This window comes from Homo sapiens, chromosome 1 (genome assembly GCF_000001405.40).
Source record: "Homo sapiens chromosome 1, GRCh38.p14 Primary Assembly".
NCBI lineage: Eukaryota > Metazoa > Chordata > Mammalia > Primates > Hominidae > Homo > Homo sapiens.
Window position 1 is genome coordinate 212,674,126 of NC_000001.11, and position 26,651 is coordinate 212,700,776.

The 26,651-nt window shown below is 47.8% G+C and overlaps 1 protein-coding gene and 1 non-coding gene across 3 annotated transcripts, besides 10 other annotated features; one reads left to right on the top strand and one right to left on the bottom strand.

Annotated features, from left to right (window-relative positions):
- Positions 4,541 to 4,640: an enhancer, noted in NCBI's record as "active region_2513". NCBI's record gives its function as "activates an Ori minimal core promoter by ATAC-STARR-seq in GM12878 lymphoblastoid cells {active_cell/tissue: GM12878}" and the evidence as "EXISTENCE:reporter gene assay evidence [ECO:0000049][PMID:35858748]".
- Positions 4,721 to 4,930: an enhancer, noted in NCBI's record as "active region_2514". NCBI's record gives its function as "activates an Ori minimal core promoter by ATAC-STARR-seq in GM12878 lymphoblastoid cells {active_cell/tissue: GM12878}" and the evidence as "EXISTENCE:reporter gene assay evidence [ECO:0000049][PMID:35858748]".
- Positions 8,167 to 8,226: an enhancer, noted in NCBI's record as "active region_2515". NCBI's record gives its function as "activates an Ori minimal core promoter by ATAC-STARR-seq in GM12878 lymphoblastoid cells {active_cell/tissue: GM12878}" and the evidence as "EXISTENCE:reporter gene assay evidence [ECO:0000049][PMID:35858748]".
- Positions 8,675 to 9,874: an enhancer, noted in NCBI's record as "MED14-independent group 3 enhancer chr1:212856142-212857341 (GRCh37/hg19 assembly coordinates)". NCBI's record gives its function as "activates an origin of replication core promoter dependent on BRD2, BRD4, P300/CBP and CDK7 cofactors, and independent of MED14, by STARR-seq in HCT116 cells {active_cell/tissue: HCT116}" and the evidence as "EXISTENCE:reporter gene assay evidence [ECO:0000049][PMID:35650434]".
- Positions 9,147 to 9,296: an enhancer, noted in NCBI's record as "active region_2516". NCBI's record gives its function as "activates an Ori minimal core promoter by ATAC-STARR-seq in GM12878 lymphoblastoid cells {active_cell/tissue: GM12878}" and the evidence as "EXISTENCE:reporter gene assay evidence [ECO:0000049][PMID:35858748]".
- Positions 9,326 to 9,826: an enhancer, noted in NCBI's record as "H3K27ac hESC enhancer chr1:212856793-212857293 (GRCh37/hg19 assembly coordinates)". NCBI's record gives its function as "activates a minimal SCP1, AML or CMV promoter by ChIP-STARR-seq in naive H9 embryonic stem cells {active_cell/tissue: H9 hESC(naive)}" and the evidence as "EXISTENCE:reporter gene assay evidence [ECO:0000049][PMID:30033119]".
- Positions 10,274 to 10,797: an enhancer, noted in NCBI's record as "H3K27ac-H3K4me1 hESC enhancer chr1:212857741-212858264 (GRCh37/hg19 assembly coordinates)". NCBI's record gives its function as "activates a minimal SCP1, AML or CMV promoter by ChIP-STARR-seq in naive H9 embryonic stem cells {active_cell/tissue: H9 hESC(naive)}" and the evidence as "EXISTENCE:reporter gene assay evidence [ECO:0000049][PMID:30033119]".
- Positions 12,292 to 25,715, bottom strand: BATF3 (basic leucine zipper ATF-like transcription factor 3). 2 transcript variants are annotated; one of them, XR_001737289.2, is made up of 4 exons: positions 25,548 to 25,715; positions 22,836 to 22,940; positions 14,002 to 14,296; positions 13,745 to 13,774 (listed from the first exon to the last, which is right to left on the bottom strand). XR_001737289.2 is itself a non-coding variant. In NM_018664.3 (3 exons), the coding sequence occupies exons 1-3, from the start codon at positions 25,635 to 25,637 to the stop codon at positions 12,666 to 12,668; spliced, it is 384 nt and encodes a 127-aa protein (NP_061134.1). In that variant the 5' UTR covers positions 25,638 to 25,715; the 3' UTR covers positions 12,292 to 12,665. The 2 variants fall into 2 exon arrangements, 1 of the variants encoding a protein (NP_061134.1); NM_018664.3 differs by lacking the exons at positions 13,745 to 13,774; positions 14,002 to 14,296 and adding an exon at positions 12,292 to 12,854.
- Positions 12,612 to 13,111: an enhancer, noted in NCBI's record as "H3K4me1 hESC enhancer chr1:212860079-212860578 (GRCh37/hg19 assembly coordinates)". NCBI's record gives its function as "activates a minimal SCP1, AML or CMV promoter by ChIP-STARR-seq in naive H9 embryonic stem cells {active_cell/tissue: H9 hESC(naive)}" and the evidence as "EXISTENCE:reporter gene assay evidence [ECO:0000049][PMID:30033119]".
- LOC124904694 (U6 spliceosomal RNA) lies at positions 18,139 to 18,242 on the top strand. Its single transcript, XR_007067233.1, has one exon. It is a non-coding gene; the product is annotated as a U6 spliceosomal RNA (small nuclear RNA).
- Positions 25,013 to 25,462: a silencer, noted in NCBI's record as "silent region_1804". NCBI's record gives its function as "represses an Ori minimal core promoter by ATAC-STARR-seq in GM12878 lymphoblastoid cells {active_cell/tissue: GM12878}" and the evidence as "EXISTENCE:reporter gene assay evidence [ECO:0000049][PMID:35858748]".
- Positions 25,653 to 25,732: a silencer, noted in NCBI's record as "silent region_1805". NCBI's record gives its function as "represses an Ori minimal core promoter by ATAC-STARR-seq in GM12878 lymphoblastoid cells {active_cell/tissue: GM12878}" and the evidence as "EXISTENCE:reporter gene assay evidence [ECO:0000049][PMID:35858748]".

The following is a 26,651-nucleotide window of genomic DNA, read 5'->3' on the forward strand; positions in this document are numbered from 1 at the left end:
GTTGGCCAGGCTGGTCTTGAACTCCCAGGCTCAAGCGATCCACCCACCTCAGCCTCCCAAAGTTCTGGGCTTACAGGCGTGAGCCACCAAGTAAAGGGTCTTAAAGGCCGGAGCTGGGAGAAGAATTACTTTCACTGTGTATTATTTGGTACTTTTGACTTTTTTTTAACTGTCTGTATATATTACATTTTAAATTCCCAAAGGATTATATAGTCATTTAAAAATTATGGTTATGAAGATTAATATAGCAGCATGAAAAATTTTTATGATGTAAAGTGAGAAAAGCGAACATCCGTAGTCAGTACGTGCATTCCAATGTCATCTATGTAAAAATGAGCAAATAAAAAAAGACTCAAAGAAAAATGAACAAAATTTAAGAGTAGTTATGTTACAGCAGTGGGATTTTCCATAGTTACAGAAACCAACTTTATTGATGTATATAGTTTATATGCAAAAATGCATCCATTTTAAGTATACTATTGGAGGAATTTTGACAAATTTATATACTCATATAACCATCACCACAATCAAAACACAGAACATTTCCATTATCCCAAAAAGTTTCCTTGTACTTTCTCATTCCATCCTGGTGTGCAATCAATGATGAGTTTTCTGTCACTATAAGTTATATCTTGTTTTCTGTCTCTATGAATTAGAATCATATACTATGTACCCTTTTTGTGTCCTGGCTCCTTTTCCTCAGCATAATACCACATCCATCCTCTCCTTCTTCCTTAGTAACTGCATCCTGGGCAATATCCCCAGCTGAAAGATTACGCTTCCCAGCCTTCCTTGCAGCTAGACGTAGCCATATGACAAAATGACGCCCAATGAAGCATACATAGAAAAGTCATGTGAGACTTCTGGAAAAGCTTCTGTAAAAGTGAGGAGCAGACACCCTTTTCTTTTTCTTCTCCTTTCTCTTGCTGTTGGCCTGGAATGTGGACCTGATGGATGGAGCTCTGGCAATCATCTTGGAGTATGAAGTGACCTTAAGGATGAACAGAAAAGAAAATGAGCCTGGGCCTTTAATGACACAGTGGAGCTGCTCCCAGCTTGGCTACCTTCCTCTTAGTCTGCTTTTATAAGAAAATATATATATATCTTGTTTAAGCACAAATATTTTGAGTTTTTCTGCTGTTTGTTGCTAAAAGTAATTCTAATTGTTCCATAAGCCTTCTAGCACTATTGCATTTTTAAATTATGCATTTTTTGATCAAAAATTAAATTGTAATGTTAAAAAATAAAACTTTATACTAAGATCTGACAAAAACAGTTTAAGAAAAACATTACAGGCTGGGTGCAGTGGCTCACACCTGTAATCCCAGCACTTTGGGAGGCTGAGGTGGGTGGATCACCTGAGGTCAGGAGTTCGAGACCAGCCTGGCCAACATGGCGAAACCCCTTCTCTACTAAAAATACAAAAATTAGCCAGGCGTGGTGACGTGCACCTGTAATCCCAGCTACCCATGAGGCTGAGGCAGGAGAATTGCTGGAACCCAGGAGGCAGAGGCTGCCATGAGCCGAGATCGCACCACTGCACTCCAGCCTGGGCGTCAGAGCAAGACTCTGTCGAAAGAAGGAAGGGAAGGGAAGGGGAGGGGAGGGGAGGGGAGGGGAGGGGAATACAGACCAATATCCCTCATGAACATAGATGCAAAAATTCTCAGCAAAATATTGGCAAATTGAATCCTCAATATAAAAAATGAATATGCATGACCAAATGAAAGGCTGACTCAGCATTAAAAAATCAATGTCTATAGTCCCAGCTACTTGAAAGGCTGAGGCAGGAGGATCACTTGAGCCCAGGAATGTGAGGCTGTAGTGCACTCTGATCACACCTGTGAACTGCCACTGTATTCCAGCCCAGGCAACATAGCGAGACTTCATCTCAAAAAAAAAAAAAAAAAAAATCAATCAAGTATTAATAATTCTCCACAGAATAAAAGAGAAAATCAAATAACCATCTCAATTGATGCAGAAGAAGCATTTGACAAAACTAATATTCCTTTATGATAAAAATTCTCAGCAAACTAAGAATAGACAGGAACTTCTTCAACTTGACAAAGGGCGAATCTGAAAAAAACTACAGCTAACAACATAATTGTGAAAGACTGAATGATTTCCCCTAAGACAGGGAACAATGAAAGGATAACTGCTCTGAACATATCTATGAAATATTGTGCTGGAGCCCCTAGCAATGTCTAAGGCAAGAAAAAGAAATAAAAGGCATAAAAGGTTGGAAAGAAAAAGTAAAACTTTCTCTAATTACAGGTAACATGATTGTCTACGTGGACAATCCTATGGAATCTAAAAAAAAAAAAATCCCAACCCTTCTAGAATTAATAAGTGAATTGAGCAAGGTTAAAGGATACCAGGGTGATATATAAAAATGAATATACTAGCAACAAAGAACTGAAGAATTAAAATTTTATAAATCCCATTTACAATAGCCTTGGAAAGCATGAAATATTTAGGCATACATTTAATGAGTGATTTGTAAGACTTCTACACTGAAGATTATACAACATAACTGAGGCTGGGCATGGTGGCTCCTGTCGGTAATCACAGCACTTTGGGAGGCCAAGGTGGGCGGATGGCTTGAGCCCAGAAGTTCGAGACCAGCCCGGGTCTTGAACAAGGCGAAACCCCATCTCTATAAAAAATACAAAAATTAGCCAGGCATGGTGGTGCACGCCTGAAGTCCTAGCTACTCAGGTGGCTGAGGCGACAGAATCGCTTAAGCCTAGGAGATCATGCCACTGCACTCCACCCAGCCTGGGTGGTGGAGCAAGACCTTGTCTCAAAAAAAAAAAAAAAAAAAAAAAATCACTCAGAAAAATTAAAGAATATTTAAATACATGAATAGATGTATTACCATCTATGAATAGTGAAGACTCACTATTAGCAGGATGTCAGTTTCCTCCACATTGATCTATAGATTCAGTACAATCCTATGTGAAAACAGCTGGAGTTTTTAGACATTGACGAGCTGATTCTGACATATAAATTTACATAGAATTTTAAAAATAATACAATGAATCTAAAATAGAAAAAAAATAAGACCAAGATTGTGACAGAGACACACATGAGGTTCTACAATGGCACAGAGGAAGAAAGAATAGCTCTGATTAGGTGACTCGAGGGAGGCTCCCCAAAAGAGGTGACTGAACAGCGCCAGCATCTGGGTGCTCAGGTAAGCAACTGACTTTTGAAAAAAACTCCCTGCTTGATCCTGGTTGAGAACTACGGGTTCAAACAAGGTGGTGCCTGTGGGGACAGAGACGGGAGAACAGATGGAAGACAGGATGGACATGAACACCAACTGGACTTGGTGGAAGAAAAAAATCCAATTAACTCTGGTTTCCAGCTTGGGAAGCTGGGTGGATAATGATTTCATATTCCAGGATTTGGGAAATGGAAAGCAAATTAGTTTTATACATGGCAGTGGGGATGAGAGAGAGGTTGAGAGAAAAATGATCTCTATATGCCCTCCAGAGAGCTCAGAAACTCAGTCCTCCCAAGTGGGTCCAGCAGTGCAGAGAGCTGGAGACAGGCTGACCCCAGCTGCCCTTTAGGTTTTGCCTCCGTGGGGCAGACCCTGCTGCTGAGGAAGTTGTGCTCTGAGCATTAGCTGGACAGCTGCTGAATCTTAGGGCTCTGAGCTACTATAAAGCAATTTTCTCCATGGTTTCGTTGTTTAGCATGGACTTTGTTAGCCTCTAGACAATTGTCCCTTGGTTTAGAATGCCGGAACAAATTTGACCAGTGGAGTCCAGTTCCAGGATTCTACTCACATTGTTCCACTGACGAGATTTTAATAAAGGGATATTTCCAGGGATGAGAGCCAGGTTAGGGAGCCGACCAGGGATGTGGAGGCACACAGGAGCTCTCCATAGTGGAAGCTATTACCACGTGGAGGCTGGAAGGGGCAGAGGGAGAGGATGGTATTACTGAGGCCCAGTGGAGATTACAGCCATGGAGGAGGAGCTGGGCCCCTGGAAGAATGCAGCCACTGCCAGGCCAAGCCTCTGAATCAAGAGGGCGCAGACAAAAAATATCCTCTATCACCACCCTCCTCACCCCTCAGTCTCCAACTGGTGCCTCCCACTGGCTAATGCCGATTGGAAGCCAGCAATCAGGGGAGCATGAGCAAAGAACGGTAGGGAAGGGACCAGGTGTGTGGGGTCAGGGGCAAGCAAGATACCAACACAGCCACACTGGAACACAGCCTGTGTAAAAGCAGGGGCATGGGTAACTCGGAGGAATGACAGAAAAACCATAGCACAGAAGTCAGGACTCTTGGATCCCTGCCCCAACGCACACTGAGCGTCCTGGGAGGCATGCTGCTGGCATCTTAGGCCTCGACTGCTTTGGCTGCAAAATGAGTAGGCTGGACCATTCAGTTGAGTGAACTTTGTGGCCTTCCACAGAGAGTTCTCTGACCCTGCTGTAAGTCAGCTGGCCCTCCCACCAAGCACAGACTGTGGCTCGACCCCAGGCAGAGAGGAGTAGTGCTGGGCGAGGGGAGTGCCGGGGAGGCCTAGGACTGGCCAGCATCTGGGACTAGAGCTGATGCTCCTCTTTTCCAGCAAACCCATGGGACATGCAGAGTCAACAAGGGACTTTTCTTAAACGTACTTTTCACGGTGGTGAGGTATATTCAAAAAGAAAGAAGAGTATTCATCTCCAGAGAGCAGCAGTTTCACAGACCCGTGTTGCTGTAGCTCCAAGTCCTGGTGCCCCCTGCTCAGTTCCTGATAACTGAAGATGAAACTTGAACAGCAAAAGGGAAGTTCTCCTGTCTCCTACAGGGTATCAAATCCTGTTTCTAGATGGTTTCAGTTCTTAAAGACACAGGATTCCATATTTTCTCACCCAATAAGCTGGAGGCAAAGAAGCTTCAGTGACCACCAACCACATTTGCACAGCCCTGGGGTGAAATGGGGCTGTACCGCAGAGCCTTTCTGGAATCCGGGTTTGAAAGGGGGTCCCAATATTTCCAACATGTGTCATCTTTCTCCTTATTAATGTAGAGAATTGGTCCAGGTAAGTGCACAGATTTGCTCAGTCAGCTCTGGGTCCCAGAGGGCCTCTTAGTTTTCTACAGTTTTCTACCTTCCTAGTTTCTACAGGGTCAGATGCCTCATAGGAGCACATGCTACTGTTTTCTTTTGGAGGTGGGAAGGGCCTGTTCACACTGGCTTCAAAGTTACTCACAGGTCAAGCTCAGGGAGTTGCTCGTTCCCTTACTGTGCCTATGAAGTGTCCCTGTCCTCTGGGAGGACAGACAGAGACTGGGATCTTGCTGCTTTCAAAGTGTTTGGTCACAAATACACGTTCAAATATGTGTTCTGCAGTTTATTTAAAGAGGATAAAGGAGGGAAACAAAAAAGACAAAGAGAAAAATAAGAAAAAGAAAAGGTGGAACAGGTGGTTAGCAAGGGTTCCCAAGCACGTGGAAATACATAGTAAAGAAAGAAGGTGATGCGTCCACTGAGGAAGAGGAAAGGGAAACGCTACCACAAAGATTTCACTGAGGCCCAAGGCGTTTTTCTCCTTGAAGTCAGACACCAGACACTGGAAGAGGTGGATACAAGATGCTGTGGCATCTTTCACATCAGAACACAGTCATTTGTTTACTCATTTACTTAAATAAACAACAACAATATGGCCAGGTGCGGTGGCTCACGCCTGTAATCCCAGCACTTTGGGAGGCTGAGGCAAGTGGATCACCTGAGGTCAGAAGTTCAAGGCCAGCCTGACCAACATAGTGAAATCCCATCTCTACTAAAAATACAAAAATTAGCTGGGCATGGTGGCACGCACCTGTAATGGGAGGCTGAGGCAGGAGAATCACTTGAACCCAGGAGGCGGAGGTTGCAGTGAGCCAAGATCATGCCACAGCACTCCAGCCTGGTGACAGAGAGAGACTGTCTCAAAACAAACCCCCAAAAAAAACAAAACAAAAACAAAACAAACAAACAAACAAACCCAACCAACATAACGGGATGCATGCTGTGATTCAGAGTCAAGGCAAGCAAATGGGAAAAGCCTCTCATCAAATTTGTCAGAGATCACAGAAGTCTTCTGAGGAAGCGGTGTCTAGCTTGTGCCCTAAAGGTGCTTAGGAGTTGGAGAGAAATGACGGGGAGGAATAGCAGCTATGAGGGCCTAATTCAGGACAAGGCAGCCCAGGACAGCAGAACAGGTGAGGTGGCTCGGGGACTCTCTGCTCCTTGGAAATTACACAGTCAATACATCATGCCCTGACTTTCTCAGTGTCTCTATGCACTTGGGGGTAAATAAACATCTTCCAAAAACACTAGCTTCATTTGACACTGTTTAAATATATTTTTTAAAAAGGCAAAATCATGTTCTTATTTATACATGAAATATGCAAGTGTTAAGGCTTTTATTTATTGGAAATCACTAATCAATGAGGGAGCCAAGTGGTTGTAACCAGTTCAAAAGATAATCTGAAAAACAGGCATGTTTCCGGATTTGGAATATCAATATGAATGTGCAAATGGAGGCAAACTGGTCTTTCCAAGGGAGAGGGAGGAGGAAAATAAATTGATCATCTATGGGCAGGACATAATTTGCATGTCTACAGATAATGACTTTGCATTGTTTTGAATCAGCTACAATTGACAGAGTTGTCAAAGCTCAAAGACACTGCAAGACTCTTATCAGATAACCTGAGGGGTGTCCCCTAGACAATGCATAGTTTCCTCTTGCATATTTTCCCTACGTGGCCAGCCTGTCAAATTCTCTTGCTTTTTGTCTCCTCTGGCCAGGACCACGGGTGATTTGTGTACCCAACTCCTCTGTGCACACATGATAAATGAAGTAATCCTAAGCAAATATTAAGGACTTACACGGTAATGATGTTGAACAGATAGAAATGTGATAACTATATTTACAGCATTTAAATGAAATTAAAGTTAACAACTGAAGAGATTTGTGTCCTGGGTCTATTTCTGTCTCACATCTCCATTATCATCATCAACCTATTGTCACTTTCATCACTGTTATTACAAGGCCTTTCTTAAGCAACGTCTTTGCTGATTTATGGGAACTCCACATTTACAACAGGCAAACTGACCTAGATGATGAATTATAGGAGCAAAGAAAGTAGGTTATGTCCATGCTCTTAAATGGGGAAACAACAATGAGAAATTCATATCACAAATATGAAAGTGATTTTGTAGGGGTTGGAGTAGGGGTGAAGGCTTAACTGGGATGAAGACAACTAGGGAGGGAGTACCCATTCAGTCAGTCAGTCACACAGATTTTTTTTTTTTTTATTTTTTTTATTTTTAGTGCTTACCATGTGCTAGGCATGGTGCTAAGCAAGCAGGCATATAGGAATGAATAAAACACTCTCTGACCTGTTGCTTACAATCTTAGTAGGTATGTTCCCTGTTCAGACCAGATGGGGGAAAGCATTAGATTTCCTCTGACCAAAACAAGACAGGTCTGGAGGTGAGATTTCAGAAGTTGTATGATAAGGGGACCCTTTAAGGTGTATGTGGGTGAGGGATGTGTCTTTCCCTTGTGTGTCTTGTTTCACCACGATGTACACAATGGGGACTTAAGCTTTCATTGTTTGAACAATAATTTGTAAATTAATAACTAATCAGTATTTTAATCATTTTTATATTATTAGTATTTATTTTTATAAAAATTATTAGTTTATTGATAGTAATATTGTTTATAATGTGCATAAATGATTAATATTTAAATATTTATAATTAATATGATTTATGATTAGCATAATTAATTTATTACTAATAAAGATTCGATATTCCAAATGGTTACAGCTAATTTGCAAATTAGCTGTAACAATTAAAGAACTTCTGGGAGGTACTTTCATTTATTCTTTCCACTCTCAGCCTCAGGTTGTTGTCCGCCACTGGTGTTTCTCAAACTTTCTTGCTTTCTCAATTTCAGAAAGTACTGCCTGGTGAATTGAGCCTTCTCTGGGTTTGTGACATTCTGGAAGGTACTTTTTGGTCTTGCCATTAGCCTGAAGGAAAGCCTAAGGAAGCTCTGTGAAAGCTGAGGATGCTTGGAAAATGGTCCTTTCTCTCAGGCTTCTGGGCAACAGTAATGATTACACATTGTCCAAGAACCTGCCACCCCCAAGTTCAAACAACACAGGGGCCAATTCAGAGCACAGCAGAAGCTTATATCCTACACAAGGCAACCGAAAACTTAACCCAGTTCCAGATGAGTCTTGACTAAGAAATGAATAGATAAGTAGCAGGTTATTAAGGGAAATCAGGGAAGTTCCAGAGCCCATCTCTGGCCTTTCAGGATGGTGTGGTAGAATGCAAACAATGGACTCTCCCTTGCACTTTCCCTCAGGGCTGTGGTTAGAATTCTGTGCTAGTAGCCTTCGTTCTGATCTGTGATGATATTTCTGGTCTTCTCAAGAATATCATACCAGAAAAAGGTGATGCTAGAACAGCCAAGAGAACAGGTGAGCTGTTTCAAGGGGCAGTTTGTCTTGAACACAGCCTTGGACTTAGGGTTCAAGCCCTTCAAGCATACCACGCCAAGAGCACTACCACTGCTAAATACAAACTTTTGGTGTGGGTCACGCTAATGGTGATGATGTCCGTGGTGGTGGTGTTGACCACACCTATCTCCTTTGTCTCACAAAAATAGGGTGGGACGCTTTCATCAAGGTGGTCCATTTCCAAATGGGCACTCCAGAAAAGTTCCCTTGACTCCAAGCATACAACAGTTTCGAGATTTGGGCCTTGGTTGGCCACACCCCCAAACCTCAAATTATGCAGCATTATGGGGGTGTGAGGGAACTTCCCCCAGCACACCCTCCTGTGGATTCAGCAAAACCGTCCCAGGAGAAGGGATGATTTAGATTCAGAGAACAAGGATCCCCATTCCCTCCTTCCCTTTTCCAACCCTCTTTCCTTCTCTTCCTCCTCTCCATTCTTGCTTTCTTTTTGCTCCCTGGCTCTCTTCTACAGGCCTCCTTCATGCAGCACGGATGACCCTGCCAGGACTTCCTGGACCTCAAGGGAGGGAAGGTGTGTCACTGAGAGCTGGGGCCTCCCTTTTTTTTTTTTTTTTCTAGTTCTTGCTGGGGCAAAGCCCACAGCCCTGTGTCAGTAAATACCTCCCGGGTGGCGGAGACCCCAGCATTGGTGGGAAAGAAGAGAGGGGCTTTTGGGACTGTCGCTTTCCTGTCTGTTAAGAGTCATCATTCTTTACCAAGATTTGGGGTCAAAATTGGGTCCTGATTACTGAATGGAAACCCCAAGGTTCAAGGCTGGCTGGTGCAATACAGGGCGAGATTGCGGACAGGAAGTGGTGTGGCTGTGTGGGTGTGAAGGAAGGACTTCCTCCCTCTCTGACACTTTCTATGCCGAGGGGGCCTTTCTCAGGCTGCCTTCCTTCCTTCAGCCCAGCAGGCAGCCGCTCTGAGACTTGAGATGCAGATGCCCAGCACAAGTCCTGGTGCCCAGCGGCAGTACGAATAGAACCACGCAAATCCAGTCCTCAGCACCTTGTGTACTACCCTAGTCCCTCCTGGAAGAATACAGCACCTTCTCAGGCTTATACTCTGCAGAACTTTTACTTTTTCAGGTAGGAGTAGCCCAGGGGACATTTGTTTTTCAGGACTCTGGTCCCATCTCCAGTTATCTCAGAGGGGACATGACCCTCAGCACCATGGGCTGCCTTAGTTTTGCTTCCCTGCTTCCAAATATATTGCTTTCACATTGAAAGTGGAGGCAGTCTTGATCCTCCCAAAATTCAAGCTCAACCTCAAGCTCAACACAGCAGCTAGGGAGGAGGACGCCTGATTCAGTGGCTAATTTGAATAAAGTTCTCAATCACAGATAAAGCAATTGACAAATTGCAGCAAAGTAGCTGGATCTGGGAGATATTTAGGAGACATAATGGACAGGACTGGGTAGATTAGCTTGGGAACACAGAGAAATCAATAGGTTTCTAGCCAGGTGGGTGATGGACCCTTGATTAAATAGGTAAAAACAGATTGAGAAGCATGTTTGAGGGGAAGATGACGAGATCATGAGTGTATCTTGCGCCACGTTGAGTCGTTGAGTGGAATGTGCTGGAAACATCCTCCGAGAGACACCTAACAGGCAGCTGGATGGATCCACAGGGCTGCCCGCTGGAGAGAGGACTGGGCTCTGGGTACAGATGGGAAAGTTACCAGCATAGAGACAGATGGTGGCTGAGAAGAAGCAGGTAGAGCAAAGAACAAAGGTAAAGGCCATTTTCATAGGCTGTTGGGAAGTAAAGGAAAATAAGACTTGAGATGTGACCATTAGATTTAGTGACCAGAGCTTACTGGTAAACTCCAAGGAGTCAGTTTCAGTGAGGGGGTGGGAGAAAAGGCTGGATCTTATGGTAGAGCCTGACAGATATTCACCAAACCCAATTCTTCCTCCCACTGAGCCCTTGGCTAAATTTCATTTCCTGACCTCCCTTGTAGCTGGATGGGGCCAGGTGACCGAGTTCTGGCCATTGAACTGTGGGGAAGTGATACACCGTCACCTCCAGGACATAGTCCTTTGCCTCATCCCCCATGGACCCTCTCCTCCCCAGCCTCCCGGCCAGAATAGAGGGGCTGGGGGATGGCAAGGCCTTGAGGGCGCACAGCAAATGGAAGCTAGGGGACTAACGAGGATTATGATGTGGAGCCAGGGGATCACACCTGAGGTCAGGCTGAATAGGGCTTAAGGATAAGCAGGCCAACGGGGCCAGCAGGCCTGGACACCCTGAGTTAGCAGTGGAGTAGGGGAGCAGGCAGTAGAACAGCAACAACCGCAAGGGTCGGAGCAGGTCAGCGGACAGTCAGGACAGCTGGATTTTGGAAGTCGGGTCAGCCAGAGTCCAGGTCCACAAGCCGGGAGAACTTGGAAGTTCTGCAGGATCAGGCTGAGACTCCTGCAGGGCCACAAATTCCTGGAGTTGAAAGTCAGCAGCAGTAAAACTCCTGCACGTGCCAGGCACACACTTTGTATGTTCCTACTCACCACTGCAGAGACCCCTGGGATCCTGGCTCTAAGCCTACCATTACAGACAGGGTGCTCATCTGAACCGTGCAGATGGAAGGACAGGCCACATTTAGACACTACCTGAGCCGCACCCAGAGTACCTCCTTGTTACATCAGCCTGATTCAATTCATAGAGGATCAGGTGGGAGACCACCTGAGGTCTTAGCCTGGTTCTGCTGCTCACCCACAGGGGACCTTGAGCAAGTCTCTCCCCCTCGCTGCATCTGAGCCCCTTCTCTGCAAAGTGGAGGGGTCAGAATGGATGATTTTAATGTCTCTTGTTCTAAAACCTTGCATCATGCTTTCTGCCCCTGAACTCCCAGCAGGTATGAGTCCTGTTCTCTAACAGCAGCCTTCCAACACGTCTGACAAGGGCAAGTTTGCAGCCTTCAGCCCGTGAGTGTTAGAGACCAGGCAGGCCTCCAGTAGGAAGGGGAACTCTCCCTAGGAAAGGGGGTGTTGAGAGGAGTAGCCAAGAGTCAGCAAGTCCTTCACCCCTGGGAGGGGCTGCCTTCTATTTCTTTCTTGTTTTTTTACTTCTTTAACCATCTACATTTACAGCCAAGCACTTTCCTTTCTGTTCCCATTTCTTGTTCCCTTTATGATGGAATGGCTCCACCCTCCAGAACCACCTCTCTTCCAGGGAAAAAGAGAATTGGAGGATGGGGAGTGTCTTCCCAATTGGTTTTCCTTGCTGGGGCCAGCTTCTTCCTGGCTTGGTTCTGTTTTTCCCAAAAGACGAGAGTCGGGCAGACAGGGCTTTTTGAAAAGAAATTGCTCCTCTTCTCATCTACCCGAATATTTGTTTAAATAAGGAGACAAATTTCTCCACTCAATTGTGACTCAGACTAATACAAAGTTTCTCCCCTATCCTACACCTACTTATAGAACAAGAAGGTGGCCTCAGAGTGGACAGTGCAGTTGAGAAAACCAACCTGGAATAGAAAATCTCCCACGCCAGTCCAGCATGAGTGTGAGAGTTGGCCAAGATGGAAGGCTGTGCAGAGCATGACAAACACACGGGTCACACCCAGCATGCAACTTTGTGACCCAGCTGGGTCAAAGACTTCTGAAGGCCTAGAAGTGGCAAGGAAGTCCCATTGGCTTATGCTCCACCACAGCCCCCTAAAGCCACCTCCCCTGTCTGCTGTGGATGTGGCTGTGGGAGAGTGGCCAGGCAGGGAGGCAAGACCCATGAGCCACAGAACACCCAGAGAAGACAGAAGACGACCTCTCCAGGAAAAGGAAGTGTATTGTGCCTGTAAATTCCCAGAACTGGAGAAGGGAGAGACAATAAGCATCTTTATTATCCAAATTCTAGAGGAAATGGCTCTGCATAACAGCAGAACCTACTAGCTGCCAGGGTGGATGAGAAGTCACTCCTGAGGGTGGCCTCCATGCTGGATCTGCACAAGGGCTCTGTGAGTTTGGCGCCTGTTGGATGTCGGGCTGAGCCCAGTCTGCAGGGAACACAGCTGGCTGGTCCTGGAGCTCCCAGGAGGAGGCCTGGCCACAGGTGCCCCCTGTATACAATTGTGAAGGAAAAGCCTTCCTCCCAGGTATGAAAATGACCAAGGCTCCTTGCTGGGCAGAGGAGTGTCCCCGGCTTCATCGGGGCAAGCAGCCGGCCACAGGGTCCGGCCGGGGAGGCACTGGCACAAAGTTCATAGGGCAGAGCAGCAGCGGGCACATCTTCTCGTGCTCCTTCAGTGCCTCTGTCAGGTGCTTCAGCTCCTCTGTCAGCTTCCCGATCTCTCTCCGCAGCATGGTGTTTTCTTGCTCCAGGCTCTCATATTCCTGGGGGAGACAGAATGGGCAAAATCATTTCTGGTGCAGCGTTCCCTTCCTCCGTCCTCCTGTGCCGCGCTGTTCACCTCTTGCCCATGAAAGCTGTCTCATTACGCATGTCCCCTCCACTGCTCAGATATTCAGATATTTGTCTATTTGATGAGTGTCTCCCCCCTCCCACTGGGAGAAACAATTTATTGAGGTATAACTTACGTAAAATAAAATGTATCTATTTTAAGTATGATCCAGTGAGTTTTGACAAATGTATACACCTGTGTTGATCAATACACGGAACATTTCAATCACTCCAAAAAGTTCCCCATGCCCCTGTGCAGTTAGTCCCCCCAAATGCTGATGTGCTTTCCGAAGATCTCTATTGGGTTCACAGCTATATCCCCAGCACCTAGAACAGTACCTGGAACATAACAAATGTTTGTTGATTGCACTAACAAATGAATGAAAACATCCCTTGCCTTGGCTTTGCTCCAGCACTCACCTGTTCAGTTTCCTCTCCATCAGGGTTTACAGAGGCGTAGAACTGCAGGGTATCAGAGAGGTCCCTTAGCCCAATCCACACAATGTAGAAACCATCCATATCCAACTTGTTCTGGGCACTCCTGCCCTCAATGGACAGACTGTCATTTCTGGGCTGCTCTACTAGACAAATCCTCTTTGTTGGGCATGGTGACTCATGCCTGTAATCTCAGCACTTTGGGAGGTCAAGGTGGGAGGATCACTTAAGGCCAGGAGTTTGAGACCAGCCTGGGCAACACAGTGGGACCCCATCTCTAAAAAAATTTGTTTTAACTAGCCAGGTGTGGTGATGCACACCTATAGTCTCAGGTACTCAAGAGGCTCTGCCAGGAGGATTGCTTGAGCCCAGGATTTCGAGGCTGCAATAAGCCATGATTACAGCACTGCACTCCAGCCTGGGTAACAGAGAAAGATCCCAACTCAAAAAAACAAAAAGAGGAAGAAGAAAGAGAGAAAGAAAAAAAAAGAAAGAAAGAAAGAAAGAAAGAAAGAAAGGAAGGAAGGAAGGAAGGAAGGAAGGAAGGAAGGAAGGAAGGAGAGAGAAAGAGAAAGAGAGAAAAGAAAAAAAAAAAGAAAAAGCTCTTCTTTGTACTGATCCAAACACTCTCACTTTCAAATGTACCTGTTGGGTTTGGTTCCATTTAATAGAACCACATCTAGTAGATCCAATGCTTTTTTCAATATCGCAGTTCTTGAAATGTTAGGATACAGCATCTCAGGTCCTCTGAGTTCCTTGCATCAGGCTCTTCTTTGCCATTCTGGGGACCCTCACCAACACACACTCCAATTTACCAGAATATCTCAGAAAATGTTGCTCCCAGGATGCAATGCATGGTTCTGGAGACCATGCCAAGGGCAAATGTGTGGCAGTGACCTCTCCTGTGCTGGGCCCAAGCCGCTGAGGATTCTCTCTGAGCCTGCAGAGAAATGCAAGCTTTATCTGCATGTGCTGCTTCTCCGTCCGTCCTTGGATGATGATGGATGCTATGGGGCTTAAGGGTAGGATTTTACATCCATCTCCACTGAATTTCATTCCTTATTTGGACATCTTCCAGACCAGCAAAATTGCAAAATCTTTTGGAATCTCAATTGCATCGTCTCATGAATGGTGACAGCACACAGCTTTAAGCCATCCACTAACTTAACACACAGGTCTTCCTTTTCTTCATCCAAGTCATTAATAAGTTCTACAAAAAATAGCCAATGGCAGAGCTCTACGGCATGCCAATAGAGACCCTCTCTAGGCTGGCAATCTCATTTAAATCTTGCTGAAATGTTTTCGTTCATTTCTAGTTTATAGTAAGGCTTTGTTGTACCATGCACACCATGCATTTCCCAAGCTCAGGGCCCAATTGCGTTACTCATCACACTTTCTCTCTGACTAGTAATTTTAAGGGAGTATCACTAAAGAAATGTGATCTTATAGCCCCCAAAGACACATGCAAATTCTCAACCCTGCCCCTTTGCTCTTGCAGTTATCCTCAACTGGACTGCCTTCCTCCTTTTCTGCATGGGTCCAGCTCAAGCCCACCACCTCCAGGAAGGCTTCCCTGACCACAGCACCTACAGGAACCACATCTTTTATTATGTGTTCTATTCTATTTTGTATCATATTCAATTTCACTCATATGAAGTAATGTCTCCCCCCAAAGATCAGAAATGTAAAGGACCTAGGAACTTCTGCTACTCCTCTCCTCTACCCCCTGCCTGATGCGCCACAGCACCAGCACCTACATGCTCAGTGATTCCTCAGCCCTCATCCTCTGTTTCTTCTTTAACCCCATCCTTTCCTTTCAGAAGGGACTCTCAGCATCTTCCTCCCTTTAAGAACCAAGGGGTCTGGCGGGGCTGCCTGTAGGGTCTATCTGAGCCATTCCCCAGGCAGGTTCCCAGGGTGGTCTGGAGCACTCTCCAGGGCAGCAAGCTGTTCTGGGGCCATGTGGCTTCACCAGTACACTGGCCCCATTCTGCCTCTATCCTCCTCCCTGCCTCCCACTCCCAAGCCTTCATGCCCTCCTTTGACCTCTGACAAGCTCTAGTTCTGGAGTGAGAATTCTGTCTACAAATCCAGCCATAAGCTCTCCGTGGGCAAGGGGAGAGTCTGGATGGGAGGATGGGATGGAAGCCAGGGCGTCAAGGGAATCATGCAGGCAGCAGAGGGATGAGAAAAGCTGCAGCACACACACACGTCTGCAAACACACACTCACACACTCTCATACACATTCACACACTCTTACACACATACACATATACACACACTCACACACGTCCGCAAACACACTCACACACTCTCATACACAGCCCGACACACACACTCTCACACACACACACTCATACACAACCACAGACACACACACAGATACACACAGTCACACACACATCTGCAAACACACTCTCATACCCAGCCACAGACACTCTCACACACATACACAATCAACACACAGTCACACAAACACTCTCACAGTCACACACATACAGTCATACACACATACATACACCTCACACAGTCACACACACTCACAAAAACTCAGACTCACATGCAGACTCCCCACATTCACATTCACATACACACTCACACACACACACTCCACCCTGCAGCAGGAAATGCCCTTGACTTTCAAGTAAAATGGAGAGTACATTTGAATAGTTCCAATGTGCTAACATTTTAAGTAGATTCCAAAGGACAAGAAGCCCTCTTCCTTTGGTAGAATATTCCAAGCTGCCTTTCTACATATACTGAATTCCGCAGCAAGACGCTCTGAGCTTCCCAGTTTTGTCTCTGGAAGCCGTGCGCAGCCCTGTGGCCTGAGGCTTCCCTGAGGTCCACTGCCCTCCCCCAACCCATGCTTAGAGTCTTCAGAGCCGCCCGACAGGTGCCCCACGGGCCCCTCATCTGCCTTCTCCATAAGGACTTTCTCTTCTAGGATTTAAGCATTACTCATAAACCCGCTGAGGGACTTTTATTGAGCTGAGGGAATAACAAGAAGAGAAGAAGTCAAAATCTTTAGGTGAGACGAGCCCTTTGAAAATAACAAGAGGAGCTGGGAGGGAAGAAAGAAGAGGCCAGAGAACACTGAATAGCAGCAAAGGGGGAAGAAATGAAACCCACCTCACACCCAGAAGAAATTCCTGGAGTAAACGCAAACAAAAAGCAAGCAAAGAACATTAAACCCTTCATTATTTCCAAAAATATGACCCCTCTAGCTCGAATTCTGCCAAGTTCCAAATCCTTTGCCATGGGAGGGTTTGAGGTTGCTGTGCTCCCTCTCTGGGTATTTGTCGGGACAGTTTCAAAGCAGACACCTAAAAATTAGAGGTGGTGAAATCACTGTGGATCCCAGCTCTGCCTCAGAAATTAAGCTGCCTAAGGCAGTGGATCTCAAGTAGGGCAATTGTGGCAGTCTGCAGGGGACACTGGCAGTGTATGGAGACAGTTTGGGTTATCGCAGCTGGTCGGGGGTGCTACTACATCATGTGGCTAGAGGCCAGGGATGCTGCTCAACATCCAGCAGCACACAAGACAGGCCCCCAACAACAAGGAATTATGCTGCCCCATGCATAAACAGTGTTGAGGCTGAGAAACCCTGTTCTGGGCATCTAGGAGCAGGTGACTGGGATCAACGGGCTGCCTAGGGATACGCAGGGTCCAGGATGCCTCTGAGGCTGAAGACAGGATCAAGGACTGGTAAAGAAGTGGGTACCAGGGACCAGATATGACAACTAAGGTGAGAAAGAAAGAAGTAGGAACAGGCTAACAGGAGGCCATAGCCACACACAGACCCCATTTCACAAGTTAGAAAACTGAAGCTCTGAGAGGTACAGTGACTTTTCCAAGGTCACATAGACCTGGGATCTGACTCCTAACTTCAAGGTCAACTGCAACTCTCTTGTAGCATCAACAATTCTGCTTTTAGTTAGCAGTGCCTGGGTCCAGATTTCCCCATGATGGTTACCAGAAGTAAGAGGCCATAAGATCTCAGGACTTCAGAATAAGTCTACTCCCAAGCCTTCACTGATGCACTTCCCAGCAGAAAAATTGTGTTACCAGCAAGGGCTGTACAAATGAGTGCCACAATCAGTTTCTAAGCCACATGGGTGCTGCCATGAAGCTCTCAGAACATGCAATATCTGAAAAAACCATGGCAACACATACCACAATCACATTGCCCAAGTCATTTGTCAGTTTGTGACATTTGGGGCTCCTGAGGATGGCACTGCTGCTTTCCTTTTGTGACTCAAAATTCTTTCTCAGTCTTACACCTTTGGGGTGCCTGGTCGAGCCAGTCTGACCCACTTCTGAGCCACCTTTCAGCCTGGGTGAGATGAGACGAGACCCTGACTGTTCACTTTGGTTCTCATTTGTCAGTGTGGACTTTGGCACACGCCTAGTGTTCAGAGATGAATGCAGGTCGAAATCCCCACGGGAGGTGTGAGCGGGTTGAAGGGATGATTTGAAAGCCCACAGTGGACTCTGAGGTCTACAGACACACGTTAAGAACTGCTTCTCATCACCGTAGTCCAACTGCCAGCAACCACTGCCCAGAAAACTCTGCGTGAAGGGGAACCCCAGCCCCTGCCTCTCTGGCTTGGCCTGTGCAGCCTCTTCCCCCATTCTCCCCTCCACAGAGGGCTCGCCTTGACGGACACTCCTAGGACTTTGGAGATGGAGAACAAGGAGGGGAGGGAGGTGGCCGAAAAACTCCTAAGAGCTGCAGCTGGGGCAAGTTTCTCAGGGTGTTGGAGGCAACAGAGGCTCAAGTACTCACTTCAGCAGCACATACATTAAAATTGGAATGATACAGGGATTAACATGGCCCCTGAGCAAGGATAATATGCAAATTCATAAAGTGTTCCATATTTTTTTAAAAACCCAGGAAGACGAAAGAGCAAAAAAAACCCAAAAAAACCAGAGGCTCAAGTATAGGTAGAGTATGTGAGTGAGGTGAGGAGAGAAAAGTGGAAACTCTTGTTGCCCAGGCTGGAGTGCAGTGGCGTGATCTCGGCTCACTGCAACCTCCACCTCCCAGGTTCAAGCAATTCTCCTGCCTCAGCCTCCCGAGTAGTTGGAACTACAGGCGCACGCCACCACACCTGGCTAATTTTTGTATTTTTAGTGGAGATGGGGTTTCGCCATGTTGGCCAGGCTGGTCTTGAACTCCTGGCCTCAAGTGATCCACCCGCCTCAGCCTCCCAAAGTGCTGGGATTACAGGCACGAGCCACTGTGCCTGACCAAAAAGTGGAAACTTTAAACAAGTTTGCTCCAAATATCCCCCCTCAGGATATGCAAGAAATGCAAGTAAAGAGCTTGAGTTACTTTGAGATATTCAGGAATGCAATCCCTGCAGTGTGGGATAGAGGAACACATGAAGAAAGCCCTTTGATGCGCTACAGTCTCCAGGGAGCAGCAGGCAGTGGCTGTCAGTGGCTGTTTTCTGGGCCCTCTGGTGTCTCCCAATGAGCTGGCCTCACTCCAGATTTGAGGAGGAGGTTCCTATGCATGGTGTCCCCACCCTAGATTGGCCTGGGAGGTCCAGGGGTCCCAAGGGGCTTTCTGTCATGGCCCGCAGTAGTGTGCAAGGCGCTCTGTGCTCAACTCACTGGAGCTTGACAAAAGGGTTCTTTACACCATTTTTAAACCAGATACCTTGCCTCCAATAGTAGATTTAGTCATCCAATGATACACACAGCTACAATGCCCTCCTGGAAGGAACAGGGAAGGGATTACTCACGTGGTGAGTAATGATTTGGTTCAGAGATGATGTTCCTTTGGTTCTGCAGAAGGTTTGGGATATACTTCCATTTTCCTAAGCCAGTCGTCTGCTTCCTCACCCGCTTGTGACCAACGACACTTGTGTGGAGCTAGTGAGGCTAAGGTGAGGGCTACAGCTCTGGGGTCTGTATACAGGTGGAGCCGCTGTCCTGGCCTCTTTGACCCTGTGATTCTCAATAAAGCTGGTCTTGCTGAGGTGATCTGCCAGTGGAGAGTAATCCTGACCCATTCCTTCAGCCCCACAGAGAGAGAGGAGAAGGGGGTGCTCTTCCGTGGAGTGTCTGGGCTTCAGATCAACCCACCCCATTTCTGAAAAGGGCAGCTGGCATGACTGTCATGCAACACAGTCTCTGGGTTGGAGAGCAGGCCAGGGACCCTACAGAAGAGGTCTCCACCCCACAGTTCCAAGAGAGGTCAGATAGGGGTAAAGGTGGCACCACTCTGAAGTTCCCAGGCACCTGGTTCACTCAGTTATCAAATGCAGCAGTGACAGAAAGTGCGAGAGAGCCAACGCTTCATACAGGTACTTTTTTGATATTGTAGTAAAATTCCGTGAGTATTTACATTTACCTTCTGTGCTAGGCAGCATAATCGATTCACTCCTCACAGAAGTTTACATTCTAATCTCTTGAACCTGCGACTATGTCACCTTACATAGCAAAAGGGACTATGCGGATGTGATTAAGAAGCGTGAGATGGGGAGACTATCCTGGATTATCCAGGCAGACCCAACGCAATCATAAGGGTCCTTGTAAGTGAAAGAGGGTGTCGGGGAGTCAGAGAAGATGTGACAACGGAAACAGCACCAGAGTAACGCAGCCTGAGAAAAACGCAACCGGCCATTGCTGGCTCAAGGAGACTACAAGCCCAGGAACACTGAAGCCTCTGGAAGCTGGGAAAAGCAAGAAAACGAATCTTCTCCAGAACCTCCAGAAGGAAGGCAGCCCTGCTGCCATCTTCATTTTGACCCAATATGACCCACTTCTGATGTGTGACTGCCAAAGCTGGAAGATAGTAAATTTGTGTTGTTTTAAGCCACCAAATGTGTGAGAGTTTGTTTCAGCAGCAGTAGGAAATTAACATCCTTTCCTTGGGAAATTCTAGGCTTCCCACCGACAGGCAAGGCATGAGATCTTCCTCCTCTCTTTGTGACCCAATGGCAATGCCTTGGTATTTGTGAAATGGATCTACTCGACTGTGCTCCATGAAAGATCTTGTCCAAGATATTGTCCTCCAGATACGTATTCAGTCCAGATTTACAACTGATGTTTTTAAAACTAGTTTTTAAAAATATTAATGTACCTGGCTGGGACTAGGAGCTTCTTCAGGAGTAATGCCTTGGCCATCCAGCAGCACATGTGGTCTGAATACAGGGCCATGCACTAACTGGGAGCCACAGGTCCCCTCTGGGGGCTATTTTGGTAACATGACACTAGAACCACAATTGCTTCAGGAGCAAGGGGGAAGAAAGAAAGGAGGCAAAGGGCATTGCCGTTCTTCTGTGGAAATTCTTCAGAACAAAGGCTAGGAGGCACCTTCTGTGACACTAGTCTAGAGACCTCAGTCTCTTTCTAGGGCCCAGCCTTCTTACTTCTAGGAAAGAATCTGACATTTATGATTTATGCCACACTGTGAATTTATATCGGAAGGTCACCTCTCTGTGGAGTATGTACATTCTAAATTTGTTCTCTGTTCATTGTTAGAGTTTTAAGATTGCCCTTTTCCTCTCCTCTCCCCAACACACCTCAGAGTTTCCATGTTGCCAATGCCCCAGAATGGCCTTGCTGAGACGAGCATGGCAGGAGACCTGGCACAATGCCTCATGCCTGTAATTCCAACACTTTGCAGGGCCAAGGCAGGTGGATCGCTTGAGTCCAGGAGATTGAAACTACTCTGGGCAACGTGGCAAAACCCCACCTCTACAAAACTACAAAAATGGCCAGGCGCAGTGGCTCACACCTGTAATCCCAACACTTGGGAGGCCGAGGCGGGTGAATCACGAGGTGAGGAGTTCGAGACCAGCCTGGCCAACATGGTGAAACCCCATCTCTACTAAAAATACGAAAAATTAGGTGGGTGTAGTGGCGGGCGCCTGTAGTTCCAGCTACTCGGGAGGCTAAGGCAGGAGAATCGCTAGAACCCAGGAGGCAGAGGTTGCAGTGAGCTGAGATCATGCCACTGCACTCCAGCCTGGGCAAACAGAGACTCTGTCTCAAAAAAAAAAAAAAAAAAAAAAAAAAACCTACAAAAATAAGGGCTGAGGGGATGAGGTGGGAAGATTGCTTGAGCCTGGGAGGTGGAGGCTGCAGCGAGCCATGATCATGCCATCACACTCCAGCCTGGGCAACAGAGCAAGATCCCGTCTCAAAAAGACAAGAAAGTATAGCAGGAGAGAGCTAAACTAAAATCTTTAATTACACACACCAACCCCGACAAAGACAAGAACATGGAATGGTGGCCCATTCCTCAGATAGATCCTTGGATGCTTTCAAGGCCAGTTCCTGGTATGGAGCAGCTCCACGTCCCAACTGCAGGATTATGCAGGTGTATGCATGAGGGCGGAGGGAAAAGGAATGGCTTAGGATAAATCCTAGGCTTCTGATTTGAGTGATGAGAAAGATGGTTCGCTCCATTAACTGCAGTTTGAAGACAATGAGAAGAGAAAGTCTCAGGGTAAACGGACAATAACACTCTTTTATGGATGTGGTACATCACAGGAGCCTGCAGTGGACCCATGGAGAAACAGCTCAGCAGACACTGAAGCTATGGGGTCTAGGGTCCAGGACAGAGGGCCTGCCTGGAGTAATCAATGTTGGGAGCTGATGCTGGGAGAACAGATTAATAGATTAAGTCTTCCAGGGTGAGAAAAAAAAAAAAGGGCAGAGTTTGAAACACTGGTCACCACCAACATTTAAGCCAATAAAGGGTCGAAGGCTAACAAAGAAATAGAGAAAAAAATCGGCGAAGAGGGTTAGGAAAACTAGGAAATGTGGTCTTTTAGAAGCAAAAGAGGGGAAAGCTTTAAGAAGAGATGGGTCCAAAGTGTCGAATGTTCTAACAAGGTAAAGGATGATGAGACCAGAAAGAGAGTCCTGGATAGGGCAGTGCCAGGGCACTGATGGCTGCAATGGGAGCAGTTTCTGTAGGGTGTGTGTGTGTGTGTGTGTGTGTGTACACACACACATTGGGTACATGTGTGAATGTGTGTGTTTGTTTGTGTGTATATATATGTGTGTTGAGTGGAAAGGGGGTAGCAGAAATTAAATCACAGAGGATTGGGGAATAACCAGGAACCAGGGACACAGAGACAACAGGTGTAACTACTCTTTTTTAAGAAGCAAAGATGTTAGCGGATTACTTTGGAGGGAAACAAAACAAAACAGGAAGTAAGGACGTGAGGGAAGAAAAGAAATGGAGCAAGAACTTGAAAGGGAATCAGGGTCCAGAAGAGGCTCTGTTTTGTTTTATAATGAAATAAACTTGACCATGAGAAGCACTCAGTGGATGAGGGAGAAATGAACACGTCCGTGAGCAAACAGTGAGAACACTGGGCTGGAAGGACCTGGCAGAAATTAGATATGAGTGTTGCTGAAATCGTGATAAAGAGAACAGTCATCACCCCCACTCCCGTGCAAGGCAGAGGCTGTGTGGCTCTAAGGTGGCTTGCCCCTACCACGGTCTCACCTCATGGAGCTTGTCAGCCTTCTGGGTCTGCTTCTTCCGACTTCTCTGAGCAGCAACTCGGTTTTTTTCTCTCCTTCGGACCTTCCTGTCATCATCCTCAGGGCTCTGGGGAAAAACACTGGGTGGGTGTGATGTCGTGGCCCCTCGCCTTACCCTTTTCTGCCCTGTCTCATCACTCAGCGTTGTTCACTGAGCTTCATCATTTGCTTTGCAGTAGACAGCACCACTAGTTGCTATACCAATGGGCTCACAACAGCCCCTTGCCCAGGAGCACTCACCATGTGAGTGTGTGAAGTGTGTGGTGTGACCGCCGTTTAAAAGATGAGGAATAAGAAACTCAGAGAGGTTAAGGACCTTGCTCCAGGTATTACAGCCACTAAGTGGGTGAGTGGGAAGTGGAACTCAGGTCTGTTGGTCTCCAAATCAACGTTCATAAACCTCTAGCCCACAGGGCGTGTGCCTGGAAGAGCTGTGGTGTCAATGTCGTCCATCTGAGACTGGAAAGCTGGGTGGGGGTGGGGGGCGGTGGAGAGATCTGCTATCTGGAACTTGCTGTTTGCCAGTCCTTATACCACCACACATGAAAGGTACTTTTGATACTGCATGCAAATCATGATTACACTTACAACTAATTGCAGCCACATAACTCTACCAACACACCAAATGATCTTAAACCCCACTGACAGTGTACTCATTTGAACAATGCTTGGCTGACATTTTGTTTCAGAAGTCAGCAAATTTTTTATGTGTCTTGAAAGCTGTTAGCTATATGTAAGATTTAACCAAATTCAGTCAAATCCCTCAATAGTGATCATGAAACAGGCAGGCGGAAAAATGCACTGACCATGGTAAAAACACTTCAATCAGCTATAGAAAACATGAAAAAGGAGAGCAGTATTTGCTTTCTAGAACCCCATGAGAAGACACCACCAAGCGGGAAAAATACCACACTTACAGAGTTTAAGAGCCAAGAGGTACAAACAAGGAAAACTACTCAGTTATTAATATTCACGGAATGCAAATATTAATAACACAAAAAAGGATATTTTCAGTTATCATTTGATCTCATCTTGTATTCCACATAAGACACACATCTTCCCAAGTTACTGCAGGTAAGAAGTTTCAGATATGCAAGAATATAAAGGCATAAAAAGGAGAGGAATAAATAACATACATAGCAAATAGAAGCTTAAGGGAACAAAGTATGATAATACAGTCTTCTAGAGAGGCAAAGAAGTCTTGATAAACAAAACCAGAACATTACAGGGGAACATGTGGTTAGAAGACAGCTCTTTAGCTTTAGAATCACACAGATCCTAGTTTTGTCTCTTAGTGTCAACATGGTCTTGTGTAAATGGTTTAAATTCTCTAAATTTTCAGTTTTCTCATTTATTGTAAGCATAATTCATTCATTCTTTCAATATGTATTAACTGAGCACCTACCATGTGCCAGACACTGTTCTAGACACTGGGGATACAAGCCCTAAACAAAGGGTCAGTGAACTCTGCAGACTTGGTGCTAACAGCCTAATGCTTAGGATTGGGATGCGATGAAATGAGATTTTGTCCTAAAGCTCCCAGCATACAGTATGCCCTCAAGAAGTTACCTGCCTTTGTTGAAGTTGCTACTTTAAAAAAAAATGTATTCTGCATAGTGCTTCTCATGCCTCTTTGCTCTCTGTAATCAAAAAGTCACTAGCACAAGAAAGCAGCCTGCATACTGCCCTCGGGGAGCTGACTCTAAACTGGACTCATCACCATGATCACACCTGCCAACCCAGCAGAAACATTTAATCAAGACAGAAAGAGGTGAGCGAAAGTTAGAGATAGTATTATGTTATTAACCATATCTGATTCAGTCTCAAAAATCCTGAGAGGTTGATGTTACTATATTCATTTTACAGATGGGGAAATGGACGGTCCGAGAGGTTAAACAAATTGCTCAAGGCTGCTCAGCCTGTGTGTGGCAAAGCCCAGGCCCAAACTCAGATCTCTGTGACACTCCAGCGACACCTGATGACATGGGCCGGGCGCTGAATTGGGAAGGTGGGGAGTAAGGATGAAAAGACCCAGTCTTCGTCGTAAGGCAGGTGGCCAAGACCCAGGCAAAGTTTCCAGACGGCCGTCCCTGTGGCCAACCTGGTCTCCTTCCTGACTGCGCCGCTGTAAACGTTGCTAGGGGACAGCGAACTGGGAAGGGGCAAAGGGTTTCCACCAGCTGGGGGCGGAGTCGGCCCTTTGTGGGTTCCCTCCGCCCAGGCTGACTAGTCCGGCGTTCTCCATTCCCGCGGCAGCACCCCCCCCACCCGGGGGAATCCTGGAGGGGCTACAGGCGCGGGTGGTGGGGTGGCAGTCGCTGGCTGCGCCAGGATGGGGCGGCCCTCAGGGCAGTGCGGAGCCCACGTGCCGGGGAGCACCGGCCATGCCCGGCCCAGCCAGGCGTCGGCGCCCTCGGGCTTCTTCCCCCAGAGGGCGCAGGAGCTGGCTCAGGAGCCATTCCAGGAGCCGCGGACACTGTGCGCACGACAGGGTCCCTGGATCGCCCCCATTCCCCAACATCCCTACGCCCCTACCTCTGCTTGTCTCCGGCCGCACCCGCCACCTCTGCACCTCCGCAGTCACCACCACGGAACTCCAGCACCCACCTCCTCGCCCCCCGCGGCGCGCCGGTCCCCGCACCCCACGGCCCTCCCTGAGCCTCTCGCCCTCTACCTGCTGCTGCGGCTGCGGCTGCGGCTGGTTCCCGGGCGCCGCGACGCTCCTCTGCAGGACGCTGCCGGCGGCCGGGAGCCCTTGCGACATGCCGGGCGCTCCTCTGGCCCGGCCCGCCCCGCCCCGCCCGCGCGCCCTGCCCGTGGGGCTGCCTACGGGCGCTGTCCCGCCGCCGGCATCCTCGTGCCGCACCCACGGCCTCGCGCCGGCCCCGCCCCCTCAGGCTTCCCGCTCTCCCCGCTACTCCACGCGTCGGCCCAGTGTCCCCGCGCGCCAGTCCCGGCAGCCGTCCTTCCCGTCCCACGTCTGCCCCGCCCTCCTTCTCCCACCCCCGCCTCGTTTCCTCCTCTGCCCGCCCTCTCTCCGCACCTCGGGGTCCCAAATCCCACCCCTGCCGCGGCTTTCCGCCGGCGCCCCGCGCTTCGTGGAAGTCACGTGGTGGCTCTGAAACCCCGGAGGGAACGCGAAGCCCACCCACGCGAGGCGACGCCCGGGGGGGTGGGGACCAGGGGGGCGCCATGCAGCCTTTGGGGTCCTTCGGCGGCTGCCGGGGAACTCAGGTTGAGAAACACAGTGGGTGTTTTGGGGTCGGTGTTTTTTCCCGGTCCCATCGCGGCATCTTCCTGCGCCTCAGCCACGCCCTGCGTCCGCCCCCCGGCGCGGGGGTCACAGTCCCGGGGGACTTTCTCCGCGGCGATCAGTCATCCGGGCGCCACTCTCGCTCCTCCAGCGGCCCCGAAGCCGCGGCTCTGGGGTGAAGACGCCGGCTTCACCGAGTCCCACCGCGCACCCCGAGCCACGGGCGCCCCAGGGACTCTGCAGGGAGTGCCTGCCCTTCCCGTCTCGGGTCCGCCGGGCTGTGGGAGGGAACGAGGCGGGGCGGCCCCGAGGGTGAATTCCCGGAGCGGAGGGTGGGCATGGGGAGGATGTCCCGGACAAAAACGGTGACGGGCTTCCCTGAGAGCGAATCTGCCACGTGGGACGTCACTAGTGACAGGTTTGGGGATCTGGACCCGCCATGCCACGGTTAAACGGCCCAGATCATTTTTCTTTTTCAAGATTTATCTGCTCGTGCCAAGCTGGGGACCGGGTTGAGGTAGGGCA

Excerpts from the sequence above, each read along its gene's own strand:
- BATF3 (NM_018664.3), bottom strand. The coding sequence starts at position 25,637 with ATGTCGCAAGGGCTCCCGGCCGCCGGCAGCGTCCTGCAGAGGAGCGTC. Across the intron at positions 22,941-25,547 it reads AGCCGCAGCCGCAGCAGCAG|AGCCCTGAGGATGATGACAG; the intron begins GTAGAGGGCGAG and ends GTTTTTCCCCAG. Across the intron at positions 12,855-22,835 it reads AGGCTGACAAGCTCCATGAG|GAATATGAGAGCCTGGAGCA; the intron begins GTGAGACCGTGG and ends TGTCTCCCCCAG.